Below are 14,181 nucleotides of genomic sequence, written 5' to 3'. Positions count from 1 at the left end.
CATATACCCGTATAGTTTCCTTGCTCCCAGTCTTGCTACCTTCCAATTACCTCTAGCTCAGAGGACCCTTTCTAAAGCTTAGATACCATCATGTCCCAACCTCTAAAATGAATTAACGCAAGCTTACATGACTTCTTAGACTTTGCTTACTTCTCCAACTTTGTCTTCTATCCTTCCTTTCACTAGCATTATTTGCTTAAGCCTCACTAAACCCTTCTTTGTTCCCCTAAAGCACTGTTTCATTTGTGCATGTGGGAACACTCTTTCTTTTACCTCTTTGCTTGTTAACTCTTACATAGTCTTCAAGTCTTGGATGACACTTCTATGAAACTTTCCTGCTCTGAAGACTAGGTTAGTGCCTTGATTACATGTTCCCAAAGCAAGTTGGACTTATTTTATTATACTACTTTTCATACCTTAGTGTTATTGCTTGTCTGTCTCTCTCATACTATAAGGTTTGAGGTTTGGGCCATGTCTGTTTCAGTTCTGTGACCAACACAGACAGACAGACAGACAGACACACACACACACACACACACACACACACACACACCCCTACTATACACAGAAGAAGCTGTGGTTCATGAGTGGAAAGCTTTATTTAAATAAAAATCCAATACTTCTTAGTAATAATGGGAACCTATAAGTCTGAAGCAAATTAGTTGTGCTTTTCTATTATATGCTCATAGTAGGCATAACATCTCTCTATTTAATAGGAAACGAAGTATGACCTTGTGGCTGAAAATGCACCATAGGATATTTGTAAGAATTAAATGAGTTAGTATACATAAAGCATTGAGGATTCTGTCTGACATATAAAAAGAGCTCAGTAATATTCCTTTCTTAAAAGTATTTTTTAATCATAATCTAAAAGTTTTAAAATTATATTTTTGTCCCCTCCACTAGGAAACATAATCACAAAGTGCAGGGACCATGGTTTTTGTCATCTGCGAGTTCTGACACCCAATATAAATTAAACATATGAATTAACAGAATACTAATGATGTAATATTTGTAATGGAAGCAGACACAGGAAAAAAAAAGTAGGAGCAAAAATTATTCCTTCTTTAACATAGGCAACTACGCAGCATCAAAATATTCCTCTGAGTCTGATAACGACTAAAGGATAGAGAAAAAAGCACTGGGTAAGTGTTTACAGCACATAGTAATAACATATTAGTTATGGGTTTAAATACTTAGCTAAGATAGAACCTAGCTCATTGATGGGTAATTCCTTTTTGATTTAATTTAATTTAGTAACTAATAATTTTGTGACTTTTTTGTGACAACTACTTTGCTATGTGTTAAGTTCATGTCAAATATAAAAATTAATATATTTGATCTGCAAAAAAGCGGTTTAAATAAAAACAGTAGCTCTTCCCGTTTGACATGTACTAAATAGCTGAAAGATGCATTTCAAAATATAGGATGCATACTAACCTATTAGGTTTATCAAAATGAACTGTCTTTTTACTTGATAGAGAAGAAGGTGGCATTCCTTCTCTTTCTCTCCTGGGGAATGAATTTGGGGAATTCTCTTTAGGAATAGTGGAATCAGCTTCATCTGATATTGAAAGATGGATGTCTGTGTTTTTTCCCTTGTCTGAACTATTTACATCTGGATGCTGTCCACTGTCCTCAGAGTCTTTGTGGGGCAACTGATCCAAAGGAGGCTGAACAGAGTCACAAACTGCTGGGATGGCAAAGTGTTCATTTTTGAGGAAGTCCATTTCACTGTAGAAAGAGAAATTAAGAGAAATCACCAGAGGACAACTGTATTTTTGAAAACTAGCATAAATCTCATAATGGGTTTAATGTTTTAAAAGCATATTTAAAAGTATTAGTAGCAAATGATTGGCAAGTAATAAATCTTTTTTATGCAATATTCACTGATGCTTCATATACCTAAAACTGTAGCTATAAACTCAAGAATGAAGCATAAAAATGGCCTTAAAAACCCTGCTTTTGATTGGCACTTAAATTTCTTTTATTCATTTGCAAAGTGGGATAACTTCCTCAAACCCACAGGATTATTACAAGAACTAAATGGAATAATGAACAGGAAATATGTACAACACTAATATGAGGGAGAAATCAAAATATCTTATTTCTTAGTTCCAAGACATAATTGATTGTAAGATCACCATATTGATTTAGTAACTTGTTTTGGGAAAAAAAACCTATTACTATTTTAAATACATTAAACAATTACAAAACTTTCTTTCAGAAGTATTAAAATGTGAAGCAATTATGCCTTGCAACTGGAATATTGTTTCATATATTTGCATAACTTGCCAATACTTTTAAACACCTTAAGAGGATTTTTAGGAATAATGATCAAGTACTAACCTTTTAAGTCTTCTGATTTGCTCCATCAATGACCATTTCTCACTATTTAACAAACTAATTTTATCTTCTAATTTCTGTACTAACATGGAGTTCTAAAATCAAAACAGGAGAAAAACAGAAACTCAAGATCTCACTGTACGCTTTTACATAGTTTAAATACTTTCTGTGGACTTGACTAATTAGTTGCTATCTCTCACCTCTGCAGGCTGGGGAGTTTCAAGAGTTGGAGGAAGGTTGCTTATAATTGGTGTAAGGGCCTCTAATTCATCTTCTTCTACTCCACTGGCCACATCTACAAGATCTTTTCCAGTTACTTGATGATTTCCAAAATCCCGGTAGAGTTGCAATAAGTCTGGAGGTTTTGGAATGTTTAATCCTACATCATCCCATAATTCAAAATCCTAAAAGATAAAAAAAAAACATAAAAAATCTTCGAGGAAATTTTATCTTACATTTTTGAAATTCATATTATTGCTAATATCTTTTTTTTTTTTAAGATCGGTTTTGCTGTGTCATGCAGGCTGGAGTACAGTGGCACAATCATAGATGGCTCACTGTAGCCTCAAACTCCTGGGCTGAAGCGAGCCTCCCACCTCAGCCTCCCAAGTAGCTGGAACTACAAGCACCCGCCACTGTGCCGAACCAATCAAAAAAAATTTTTTTTTGTAGAGATGGGGTCTTGCTTTGTTGCCTAGGATGGTCTCAAACACCTGGCTTTAAGCAATCCTCCCACCTTGGCCTCCCAAAGTGTTGAGATTACAGGTGTGAGCCACCACAGCCAGCCTCTGTGAATATATTGAAAACCCAACATAATCATAATTTTGTTATAATATCAAAGTGTATGTTCCAAGTTAGTAAATAACATTCTTACATTTATTTTACACTTTCCAGTATCCAATATTATTCTTGTAAGTTTCCTGACCTTCTAGATCAATAGGTTTAATTGTCTTAGGTATCAAAATGTTACACAATTTTTTTATTATATCTCTTAAAAATATAAACTCTCTTTACTTTGTTTTATATTAACTTTAAGCTCATAAAACATGCTCAAATATTTGCATGACATCATAAAACATGTTTAGATTAAGGAAGTCTCAGTACATAAATTGTACCTATTATTTATAGGTTATAAGTAAACTCAAATCATTAATTTTGTTCTTCTTTTATTACTCCAACTTAATACATATTAGTGTAATCTCTAATGGGTAGGGAAACAATTTAATCTGCATGTCTTCTTGCTGTAAATGTTTGAATATAATTCATATTATTACAAATACTTCTGGCAATTTTCAGAATCCAAATAGCTACTCTTCAATTTGTTGTGTATTAAAACGTGTTCAACAGTTTTATTAACTGCAACAGTTTTATTAAAAGTACAAAAAAGCACAGCAACTTAAGCATTCTGTAGAGAAAGATCTTTAGAAGAGCTTCATAAAATTGCTGAGTAATCAATTGCACGTAAATACACTGTCTCACCATTCTATCTTCCTTTAATATATCATAATTTAGTACTAATTTGATAGATTATAACCTATGAGAACCTCTAAGAAATTGGCATATTAATTTGAACATTCTAAATGTGATATTCTTAATCCTTTGACGGTTTATTTGAATGATGAGATAGCTATTATTGAGGACTAAATCGAGGTAGATATGAGTATTACAAGTGGGGGCTTTAGAGAAAACCAGAGGAAGTATGAAATTTGTATCTTTCTCCACTATCACTGTTACAAATTAATTTGAGGGAGGCTTAAACTGGTCATCTGTAAAATGAGTAAAATATTTATTATCTCTTAGGGTTTTTGTAAGGATAAATTAAATGTATATAAAAGCCTTAACACAGTGCTTGGCCCACAAGAACTAAACAACTTTTAACTTAAAAAAAAAAAACTTATTAAATGAACATTACACATAATTCAAATGTCCATCTATCTATCATTCAACCAAAATTTAAGATGTATCTACCTTGAGCTTAGAACTAGAAATAATTTCTAGTTGCTCCATATCCTTGCCAAAACTTCATAGGTAAACATTCTAATTAACGTGTTGTGGTATCTCAATGTGATTGAATTTGCATTTCTCTAATGAATACAAATGTTGAGAATCTTTTTCACGTGCTTATTTTCCATCCATATAACTTCCTTAGTGAAGCACCTGTTTAAAATTTTTGTGCATTCTTTTAAAAAATAGATTAATTTTCTATTATTAAGTTTAGAGAGCTCTTTATAAATTTTGGATATAACTCCTTTATTAGATATGTTACTTGCAATATTTTCACCCTCTCGGTCTTCTCATTCACTTAAAAGTGGCTTCCAAACAGCAGAAGTTATTAATTTTGATGAGAGCAAATCTGACAGAGAACATCATGCTTTTTGTGTCATATCTAATAAATGTTTTGCCTATCTTCCAAGCCTGCAGTGATTTTTTTTTTCCTGTTTTCCTCTAGAAGCCTTACAGCTTTTTAGGATCTATATTTAAGTATATGCTCCATTTTGAGTTAATTTTTGTATATGGTATGGTTTGATGTTTATTTTGTTTAGGCAAATGGTTCCATTACCATTTGTAAAAAAAAGACTACCCTTTCTGCATGGAAGGTATTTTGCATTTTGTCAGAATTCAACAGATCATCTATGTGGAAGTCCATCTCTGGATTCTATTCTGTTTCATCAATTTATTTGTCTATATACAAATATGACAAATAATATCTTTACTATAATATCTTTTAAGACTTGAAGCCAGGTAGTTTAGGTCCTCCAAATTTGTTCTTCTTTATTAAAGTTGTTTTGGCTGTTTCCTTTTCATATGAATTTTAGAAAAAAATCATTACTTTCCACAAAAATGCCAGTAAGAAGTGAGATTTAGATTTCATTGAAAATACAAATCAAAATTGTTACCTTGACAATATTGGGTCTTCTGATCCATGAGCACAATATCTCTTCATTTAAATCTCTTTAATTTATCTCAATGTTAAGTAGCTTTCAGTGTAGAAGCTGTCAGATTTATTCCTAAGTTATTTCCTATTTTTTAATACTATTGAACATGATATTTTAAAAATTTGATTTCCAATTGGTTGTTGCTAACATATGATAGGTTTTTGTATACTTACCTTGTTTCCTACAACCTTGCTAAAATCACTTAGTTTTTGTACCGTTTTTGGAGAGTCTATAGGATTTTCTATACACATGATCATGTCATTGGTGAATAAGGACTGTTATTTCTTCCTTTCCAAAATGTGTGCTTGAATTACTTTTTCTTGCCTTATTGCACTAGCTAGAATCTTCAGTATGATGCTGAATAGAAGTAGTGAGAATAAATGTTCTTGTTTCCATCTTCATCTTTCATCATTAAGAATGATGTTAGTGTGGGATACTATGCAGCCGTAAAAAAGATGAGTTCATGTCCTTTGCAGGGACATGGATGAAGCTGGAAACCATCATTCTCAGCAAACTATCACAAGGACAGAAAACCAAGCACTGCATGTTCTCATTCACAGGTGGGAATTGAACAATTAGATCACTTGGACACATGGTGAGGAACATCACACACCAGGGCCTGTTGGGGCATGAGGGGCTGGGGGAGGGATAGCGTTAGGAGAAATGCCTAATGTAAATGACGAGGTGATGGGTGCAGCAAACCAACATGGCACATGTATACCTATGTATCAAACCTGCACGTTGTGCACATGTACCCTAGAACTTAAAGTATAATAATAAAAAAAAAGAAAAAGAATGATGTTAGTGATAGGTTTTCTATAAATGTCCTCTATCAGTTGGGGAAATGACTCTCTATTTCTAATTTCTTTAAAGTTTTAAAAGAGAATGGATGTTGGATTGAGTCAAATGCCTTTTCTGCATCTTCTCAGATGATTATTTGATTTTCTTTTTAATATGATCAATTACAATGACTGATTTTTGGATATGAACTCAACCTTATATTCCTGAGATAAACCTCATTTGGTCATAATGAATTGTCCTTTTAACATTCTGTTTAATTTGATTTGCTAAAATGTTATGTATAATTTCTATATCTATATTAATAAAGGAAATGAGCCTGTAATTTTATTTGTTTGCAGTGTCTTTGTCTGGTTTTGATATCAGAAGTATGCTGGTCTCATTGAATGAGTTTGGAAGTATTCCCTTATCTTTAATTTCTAGAAGAGTTTGTATTACTTCTTCCTCCAATGTTTGGTCAAATTTGCAAGTGAAGCCATCCAGACCTGGAGTTTTCTTGGTAGTAGTATTTTTAAGTACAAATTTTATTTCTTTAATAAATATAAAGCCCTTCAAATAATCTATTTCTTCTTGAGTGTGCTTTGGCAGTTGTCTTCTTACAAGAAAAGTTATTCATAACATTCTTTTATTATTCTTCTAATATAAGTAAAATCTGTAGTGATGTAACCTTGCTCATTGTTGATTTTGGTTATTTGTATCTTCTCTCTTTTTCCTAATCAGTTAGGCTAGAGGTTTATCAATTTTACTGATCTTCTCAAAGGACTACTTGTTTGTTTCATTAATTTTTCTCTATTGTTTTCTGCTGCCTGTGTCATTGACTTATGCTATCATCTTTATCATTTCCTTTCTTCTACTTACTTTGGGTTTCACTTGGTTTTCTTTTTTTAGTTTCTTAAGGCAGAGCCTGATTTCACTGATTTGAATTTTTTTCTTTCCTTGTATAGACATTTAGTGCTATGAATTTCCCTCTAAGTGCTATTTTAGTTATATCCCACAAATTTTGATATGTTTTGTTTTCATCTTCACTCAGTTCAAAATACTTCATAATTTCCCTTTTCTTTTTTAACTCATGCGTTATTTGGAAATAACTTTGTTACTAATTGCTAGTTAATTTCACCATCTTAAGACTTGTTTTATAACCCATAATATGGTCTAACTTTGTAAGTGAACCATTTGAATTTAAAGAGTATGTATTCACTGTTGAAGGATGAAGCATTTTTATAAAATTGTAATTATGCCCATTGGTTGATAACATAGCACAAGCCTTCTATATCCTAAAAGATTTTCTGTTGACTTGTTCTATTAATTATTGAGAGAGCATTGTTGACATCTCTAATTTCTGATTTTTATTCGAGAAGGACTAATCATTTACACTTACAGTGAATACTGATAGAGCTAGGTTTTAATCTAACCATTTTATTATCTGTTTTCTATGTATTCCATCTATTTTTTGCTCCTCTTTTCCTCTTTTTCTGTGTTCTTTTTGACCTCTCAATGTTTCTCACATATTCAAAATCTTTCCTATTCACTGTTTAGTCGATCATTTAAAAAACATGATTAACCTAAACTATAACCATAGTATAGCATTGTATAATACTCATGTTAAATATTAGTTTAATGTCTCTTACATAGCACATGTTCAGTGACACTACCATTGAATAAAAAATAACTAGATACTTATTGCATTTAATTTTGCCAAATATATTCTAATAACTGAGGGGTTAACTGAACTATCTTACTCAGAAAATTTCTATTTTTGCTAAAGGATCTATAGGAGATTTTATGAACCAACAGAATAATCTTGATTTAAAATGATGGCCTTCAGATTCCTAAATAATAAATTCACTGGCATTTACTTTTTTAAGGTGTAAGATTCAAACCAATCCATTAGCACTAAGAAGTCAAAATATTCCATTTGAGAGATGACACTAAAATAAGACATCTTTTTTGCTTAAAGAGATTTTATCAGGAAAATAATAATAAAGTTCTAAAATTGGCCCCTATTCAGAGAGATACAGCTGATTTTCTCACTCTCATTTACAATATACTCTCTTAAATACTGTCATATATTTATCTAACATCTTAATTGTTACAGTGGAATTGAAGAGGTTTATAGTTAAACTGGATTTATAAGTACACAAGAACCTATACTATAAAGTATGTCTTTAAAAAGCATACTTTATGAATATATGCAAAAATGAGTGGACTATATAGTCACTGAGGAGTAGTAAAAAGGAATCTAGAAAGAATGAAAAGTCTTTATGTAGAAAGCAACAGGGAAAGAATAAAGTCTGTAAGCTAATAGAATTAGCTTCAGGCAAGAGACTGCTGTTCTAGTAACTAGCCTTGTAGAATTTTACTATATATATAACTTAAAAAAAAAAAAAAAGAAACTACGTAAAAGAAAAAGTGAATTATAAGTGTAGAAAAAAATCACTGTAAAAACAAAAAGTAACTTTACCTGATCATCGTTTTCATCTGAAAAGGTTATTGATGTAAGCTTATAGTTATTCTTCAATAAAAATTCATTGACTAAGAAGTTTAGAGCTCTCTTTTCAAGAGGTTTGATTGGCTCCTGGAAGCAAAATAAGAGGCAAACAGGAAATCATAAGTATTCCTCCTTCAATATTTATGTTACCATTTAATGTGGAAGATTAATTTTACATTTGTCTTCTGTCACCCACCTGAATTTCAGGACTTGATTTGTAATTTTTTCGTTCCTGTAAAGGAACTTCATGTTCTGGTGGAAAAAAACATAAGTACTATTTTACTATTTTACATTTTAAAATATCTCAGCTACTTCTACATTGTCAAAGTTGAAAAGTCTCAAAAAAGTTTTATGTACACCACCTGCGGCCTTTGTCAGGTTGGCTCGGAGGGCCTGAATGGTCTCCTTGGCTTTCCGTAGTTCAAACTCCAGGACTGGACAGGGATTTGGAATAAACACACACAGGCATCCAACCAAGAAAAGGGAAACAAAAATTAAAAAATAAAAAGCAAGGATGGGTATGAAAAAAAAATACAATTTGTATTGAAAACAGAAAGCATGCAATCTTTATGAAACTTGTGAACGCATGCAGCAGAGTTGATTTGCAAGCAAACTGGTGAATGTTTTCCATAGTTTTAGTAGAATTCAGGGGGTTATTATCAAATGTTCTAGCTGTCTGACAAGGAATAGCTCTATTTAAAAATAAAATCTATGGCATACTCTCATTTAGATAAATAAAAATATTAATAATCTGGGTACTTCTGCTTTATTCAGTCTAGGTAAGAAATGTAATGGATGTGTGCAGGTGACATAATTTCAGGGGATAAGGTAAAAATTAGATGAAGCCCAAGCAAATATTCTTAAAAAGAAAAACTTAGGATTTTTTTTTTACAAAAGTTAACTTAAAATGCATTATCTAGAATAATGTTATAAATCAACGTATAGAGACGTTAGTGAATAGTTCCCTTCATTAGGATGTTGAAGGAATATGGTTTCAATATTTAACAAATGTCGTGATGCCTATACATTTTTCTACAAACAAGAGTATGTTTTCTAAAAACAAACACAGATACATCAAACACATATCAAAAAAAAAAAAAAAAAATCCAAAACCCCAAGGGTTTTATTTTTCATTTAGAGCCACAGGATAGAAACAGTTTCACTTTTAATTCCTAATTAAGATAATTCTATAGCAAATGAATGTGTACATTTCTAAAAGTATAGTTTTCTAAGGATACTGAGTAGGATTAAGTAGAATTTCAAAGTTTCTGATAACTCTTCTAATAGATTTGTTCATGTTAAGAGGTACTAGTGAAACTCAGGATTTCTCCTATTATCACAGAGTGTGATTATGACATAAATATGAATATTGAGGAAACATTTTAATAAGCTCTTTAAAATGTTAGACTTGAGAAAAAATATATTTCTGAGAAGTAAAGCTCTGGGAAAATTAAGTGATCTTTGCCACAAATGAATATTAAGAAATTACAGTAGTTAAATCATTCTGCATAAAAACTGGAACTGAAGGTTTCATCTTAAAGATGCAATTTTTTCCTAACTGACTAATACACATAAAAAAGATGCCAAATGAGATGTTATCAGAGCCACAGCTATAAAAATATATGGAAAAATTAGGATTCACTCAGTTTGCACATTTTCAATAAAAACAAGATGTAATTGAATCACATCTAGTACACAAAGGCCAATTATTTTGATGCACAGAATTTAACTGCAGCAACATGGAAGCACCACTAAAAATCAGATGACATCGTATGTTACTTTATGTTTTTTGGTAGTCAGCAATGCTGATCTGCAAATACTTCTGTGCAACAAAGTTAAACATTTTCCTTAACATTTACACTTCCGGAAACTCTTAGAGTTGCATTGAAGTAAGACTGGACACATTCAGTGTGTAAGGTAAGTACAGAATAGGTTTACACAGCATGTTGGTTTACTTTTTTTTTTTTTTTACATTTTAAAACTCTAGGCAATTGATTTTGATTTAAAAATATCTAACTGTATCTTAAATAAATATATATATCATGCTTTTGATATCACTTAAAATTTTCTAAGACATTACAGAACAATTGCAGATCAGAAGTGCCCTACGCCAGAATGATAGAAATATGAAAAAAAAAAAAAAAAGAAAAAAAGAAAAAAAAACTGGTTAAAACACAAACTGGGAAAAAACTCAAAATGCAATTGGTGAAAGTTTAGGTGACCAAGAGTAAAACACTGAATGATTAAGGCACAGAAAGCCAGAAAAACCCATGTCAGACGGCAAGAATTTATATTTTTATGCACATCTACATATATATTGCCAAATGTCATTAGAATTTACCAATACTTTGAAAAGATAATACTTATCAATATGAATTCACTCTGCTGCATGTTTCTTAATATACAATATAGACTTTAAAAGACAAAGGCGTATGTTTGAATCTATAGTACATTTCTATAAAGGCATAATATGATCAAGTAATTGCAGTTACATGAGAAAGTTTCAAAAGAAAGGTTAATAGCAATGTTGTATTTACAGATATATGAATGTATCTTCTTTATTAGCATTAGATTAAAGCTAAAAATTAATTATCCTGTAAAGAGAGACATTGTGCGGAACAACCTTGCAAATATTTTTCAAATATTGTAATCCTTCCTAAAAATATTTGAGGATATGTATGTTTATTAAAAATGCTGCAGGAATGACCAACCAAGTGGCTCATAGTCCAACTCTGCTGAATACAATTTTACTAGAACTAAAGTAATAACTGCAAAGATGTAGATGTATATTAACATCGCATATTATAATCTTACCAAAATAGTTAACACTTAAAAGTCAGTATAAGCAACTCCAGATTAGTTGAAACAGTTATTTCTCAAACTGCACTGGATAATACTGTAGTATATTAGAGGCACTTGAGTGCTTAAAGATTATGCTTTCATGACTTATGAGATGTACAACTATGTGGAGACACCAAAGGTGGAATGTGAAATTTCAAAGTAGAAATAAAATATCAATACTTTGTTGTCCAACTCAATTCATCACTAATATTATCTTGAAATGCTTGCTAGACTTAGTTCTTTTTGGCCCACACTCAAAATATTGCTGTATTTTAAAAGATCTTTTCCATAACACTGGTCTGAAGAAGTATTTTTTCATTCCCATTCTAGTTCATTATTGATGAGTTCCAATCAATAGGTCTGAGTCATCTATTTTGCTATGTAAAATTGTCTTCTTTCAAGTCAGAATTTTCTGGAATTTTTTTCCTGACTATAAGGTGATTTGAAATAACACTTTCCCGTCTTTAATACTTATTTTAGTATCCCAGAACAGTTGTAAGAAAAGAAAAAATTCTCTTTTCAATTTTCATAAGAATATGAGTTAGAATAAAAACCCGTCCCTAAAATAATACAAAAGTCCTAAGGCAGTACTATCATCACCTTTACTAGGTTTAGAAAATTCTCCCTGCCAATTATAGACTTGAGAAACTTAGTACTGTTAGGCATGACTTAGCAATAAATAAGTGAAAGCAAGATGCAATCTCCATAGTTTGTAGATACTTGTTTTTCTATATTCAACTTGGTGGGAACAAAGCATCCTCTTTCCCACAGCCTTAAAAAAAATTCTTCCCACTATTGTTCTTTCTGCTTGAGTTCCTCTATCACTCATCTCAAAGTTGGTGTTTATCCATGTATCATCCTTAGACATTTTCTTAATTTACACACTTCACTGGAATGACTTTCACTCTGGTGGTTTTAAGTTTCACAAGTACTCTGAAGACTCCGAAATTTAAAAAATCTTTTCACAAGACACCGACCTACCCAGTTATCTCCTGGACATGCCCACTTGAATGTCTCATAAATTACTAGTTCAATATTATCTATGGATTTCATCATCTTCCTTTCAAATGTGGTTCTCCTGCAGTCTCTCCAATAATGGCACCATTATTGACCCAGTTGGCCAAATGGGAAACCTGAAGATGACTATTCACTTATTCCTTGCCCTTACTCTCACACTAATTAAATGTTTAAGCCATACTGATTCCAACCTTTAATAACTCCTGAAATAACCATTCATCTACACTGTCTCTGCAATTGTCATAGTTCAGACCTTTATGACTTAATATATAAATTACTACAATAACCTAAAACCCTAAAGACTGAAAAATCATACAGAAAACCATGATTTTCTAAACTTATCTAACCATGAAACTCTTTTTCTTTTTTCCCACTTTTGTTTTTTCCCTATGAAATGAACATTCTCATGAAATACACTTTTAGCAATGTTAATCTAAAGATAAAACCCTCCTTCTCCAGCCCACTAAAATTTAATGAACATATAATCACTTTTATTTTTAGATTAAATATAACCACCCACCACAATGATGTATTCTTTTTTTCCTCTCTGAGCCTATTTTAATTTCATGGTGACGAATAACAAGAAATCTATTTTCAAAATGCTATTTATCTTCTTTACAGCCTTGTTGGAGCACCTATCCTATTTTAAATCTGACAAAATTATGAAATAAGATTTAGATATGGTTTAAATCAAGAAAATCAAAATGTACTGCTAATAGGAAGGAAAAGATTTATCTGTACCTAGGGAGAAACAAAATTAGAAGCCAAATAGGCTTATTTAATCCTGATAAAGCTGGATATGGATGCTGCCAGGCCATTACCTAAGAAATGAGAAGCCTACTTCTAATCCAGGGGACAGGGACAGGTGATCCTACAGCAAAAATCTAAAGACCATTTTAGAATGTCTACTAGATTATGTAAGCTTCCTAAAGGCTTCATATGTCTGTACTATTGACCGTTGTTCCAAGAGTAGCATAATGCTTGAACTATAGAGAGGGCACTCAGCAAATACTTGCTGAGTATGAATGGACATTCCGATACTTGATGTGACATGTGATAAATCTGAAACATTAACTGATCTTACCAGCATTCAGGAATGTCTTTCCCTACAAATCAGAAAGCATAGTTCTAGTTCTCCAGATCTCAAAACAGAGTTAAGGTGTGAACTAGAGAAGTAATTCAGTAATAGAGATATGAGAACATATCTGATGCTAAAAGATGGATCTTGTGAACCTGAAACAGGAATATAGGGGGGTTCTAAAATCAACAAGGTCTCTATTACCATTTCCAACGTACTGAACTTGTATCTGTTATGACAGATATAGACATATTTCAGACAAATTCCTGAAGAGCAGAAACGTTATCTATCTTGTATGTCTACATAGAAACCTAACACATAGTACCTAACACGTAGCAGATGCTTGAAATGCCTAAAATAAGTTAAATAATGGCTATCTCGATATTTAGAATACAGATATCTCTTGTTACCTTTAAAAAAACTAGAAAATTGAAGAGGTACATTGTATATGCACTAAGTACAGTAGTTTTGTTTAATAACATAGAGAAAGGCTTTTACTTAAAATGAAAAATCACCTATATTAAACTCATTGGTTTGGTGTCTGCTACTACTTAAATCATTTTATATAAAAATGTATGCTTCATATGAAAACTAAATTGAGAAATGGAAAATATCTAAAAAAGTTTTTAAAATTTTACTTTTCTAAGAAAATGGCTCTGTGAAATAGTTTCATATAA

The 14,181-nt window shown here is 31.6% G+C and overlaps 1 protein-coding gene across 28 annotated transcripts in view, besides 1 other annotated feature; it reads right to left on the bottom strand.

The window, feature by feature from the left end:
- The window catches only part of RELCH (RAB11 binding and LisH domain, coiled-coil and HEAT repeat containing), a 122,995-nt gene that overhangs the window by 80,211 nt on the left and 28,603 nt on the right, over window positions 1-14,181 (bottom strand). For all 28 annotated transcript variants that reach the window (NR_144408.2, NR_144403.2, NR_144409.2 and 25 more), the window contains exons 3-8: window positions 8,931-9,002; window positions 8,765-8,820; window positions 8,542-8,655; window positions 2,547-2,750; window positions 2,350-2,441; window positions 1,441-1,734 (exon numbers count right to left, since the gene is read on the bottom strand). Coding sequence is in view for 17 of the 28 variants with exons in the window: in NM_001346230.2 (NP_001333159.1) it covers window positions 1,441-1,734; window positions 2,350-2,441; window positions 2,547-2,750; window positions 8,542-8,655; window positions 8,765-8,820; window positions 8,931-9,002 (832 nt within the window). In the remaining 11 variants the exon portion in view is untranslated. The remainder of the gene's footprint in view (window positions 1-1,440; window positions 1,735-2,349; window positions 2,442-2,546; window positions 2,751-8,541; window positions 8,656-8,764; window positions 8,821-8,930; window positions 9,003-14,181) is intronic.
- Window positions 2,424-2,593: an enhancer, noted in NCBI's record as "experimental_48887 CRE fragment used in MPRA reporter constructs". NCBI's record gives its function as "activates a minimal promoter by MPRAs in K562 erythroleukemia cells, with activity observed for both the introgressed and non-introgressed 18:59894764 variant alleles {active_cell/tissue: K562}" and the evidence as "EXISTENCE:reporter gene assay evidence [ECO:0000049][PMID:34662402]".

Source organism: Homo sapiens, chromosome 18, assembly GCF_000001405.40.
Source record: "Homo sapiens chromosome 18, GRCh38.p14 Primary Assembly".
Taxonomy (NCBI): domain Eukaryota; kingdom Metazoa; phylum Chordata; class Mammalia; order Primates; family Hominidae; genus Homo; species Homo sapiens.
Note: the sequence above shows the minus strand (reverse complement) of the source record. Positions and strands in the feature narration are given on the sequence as shown.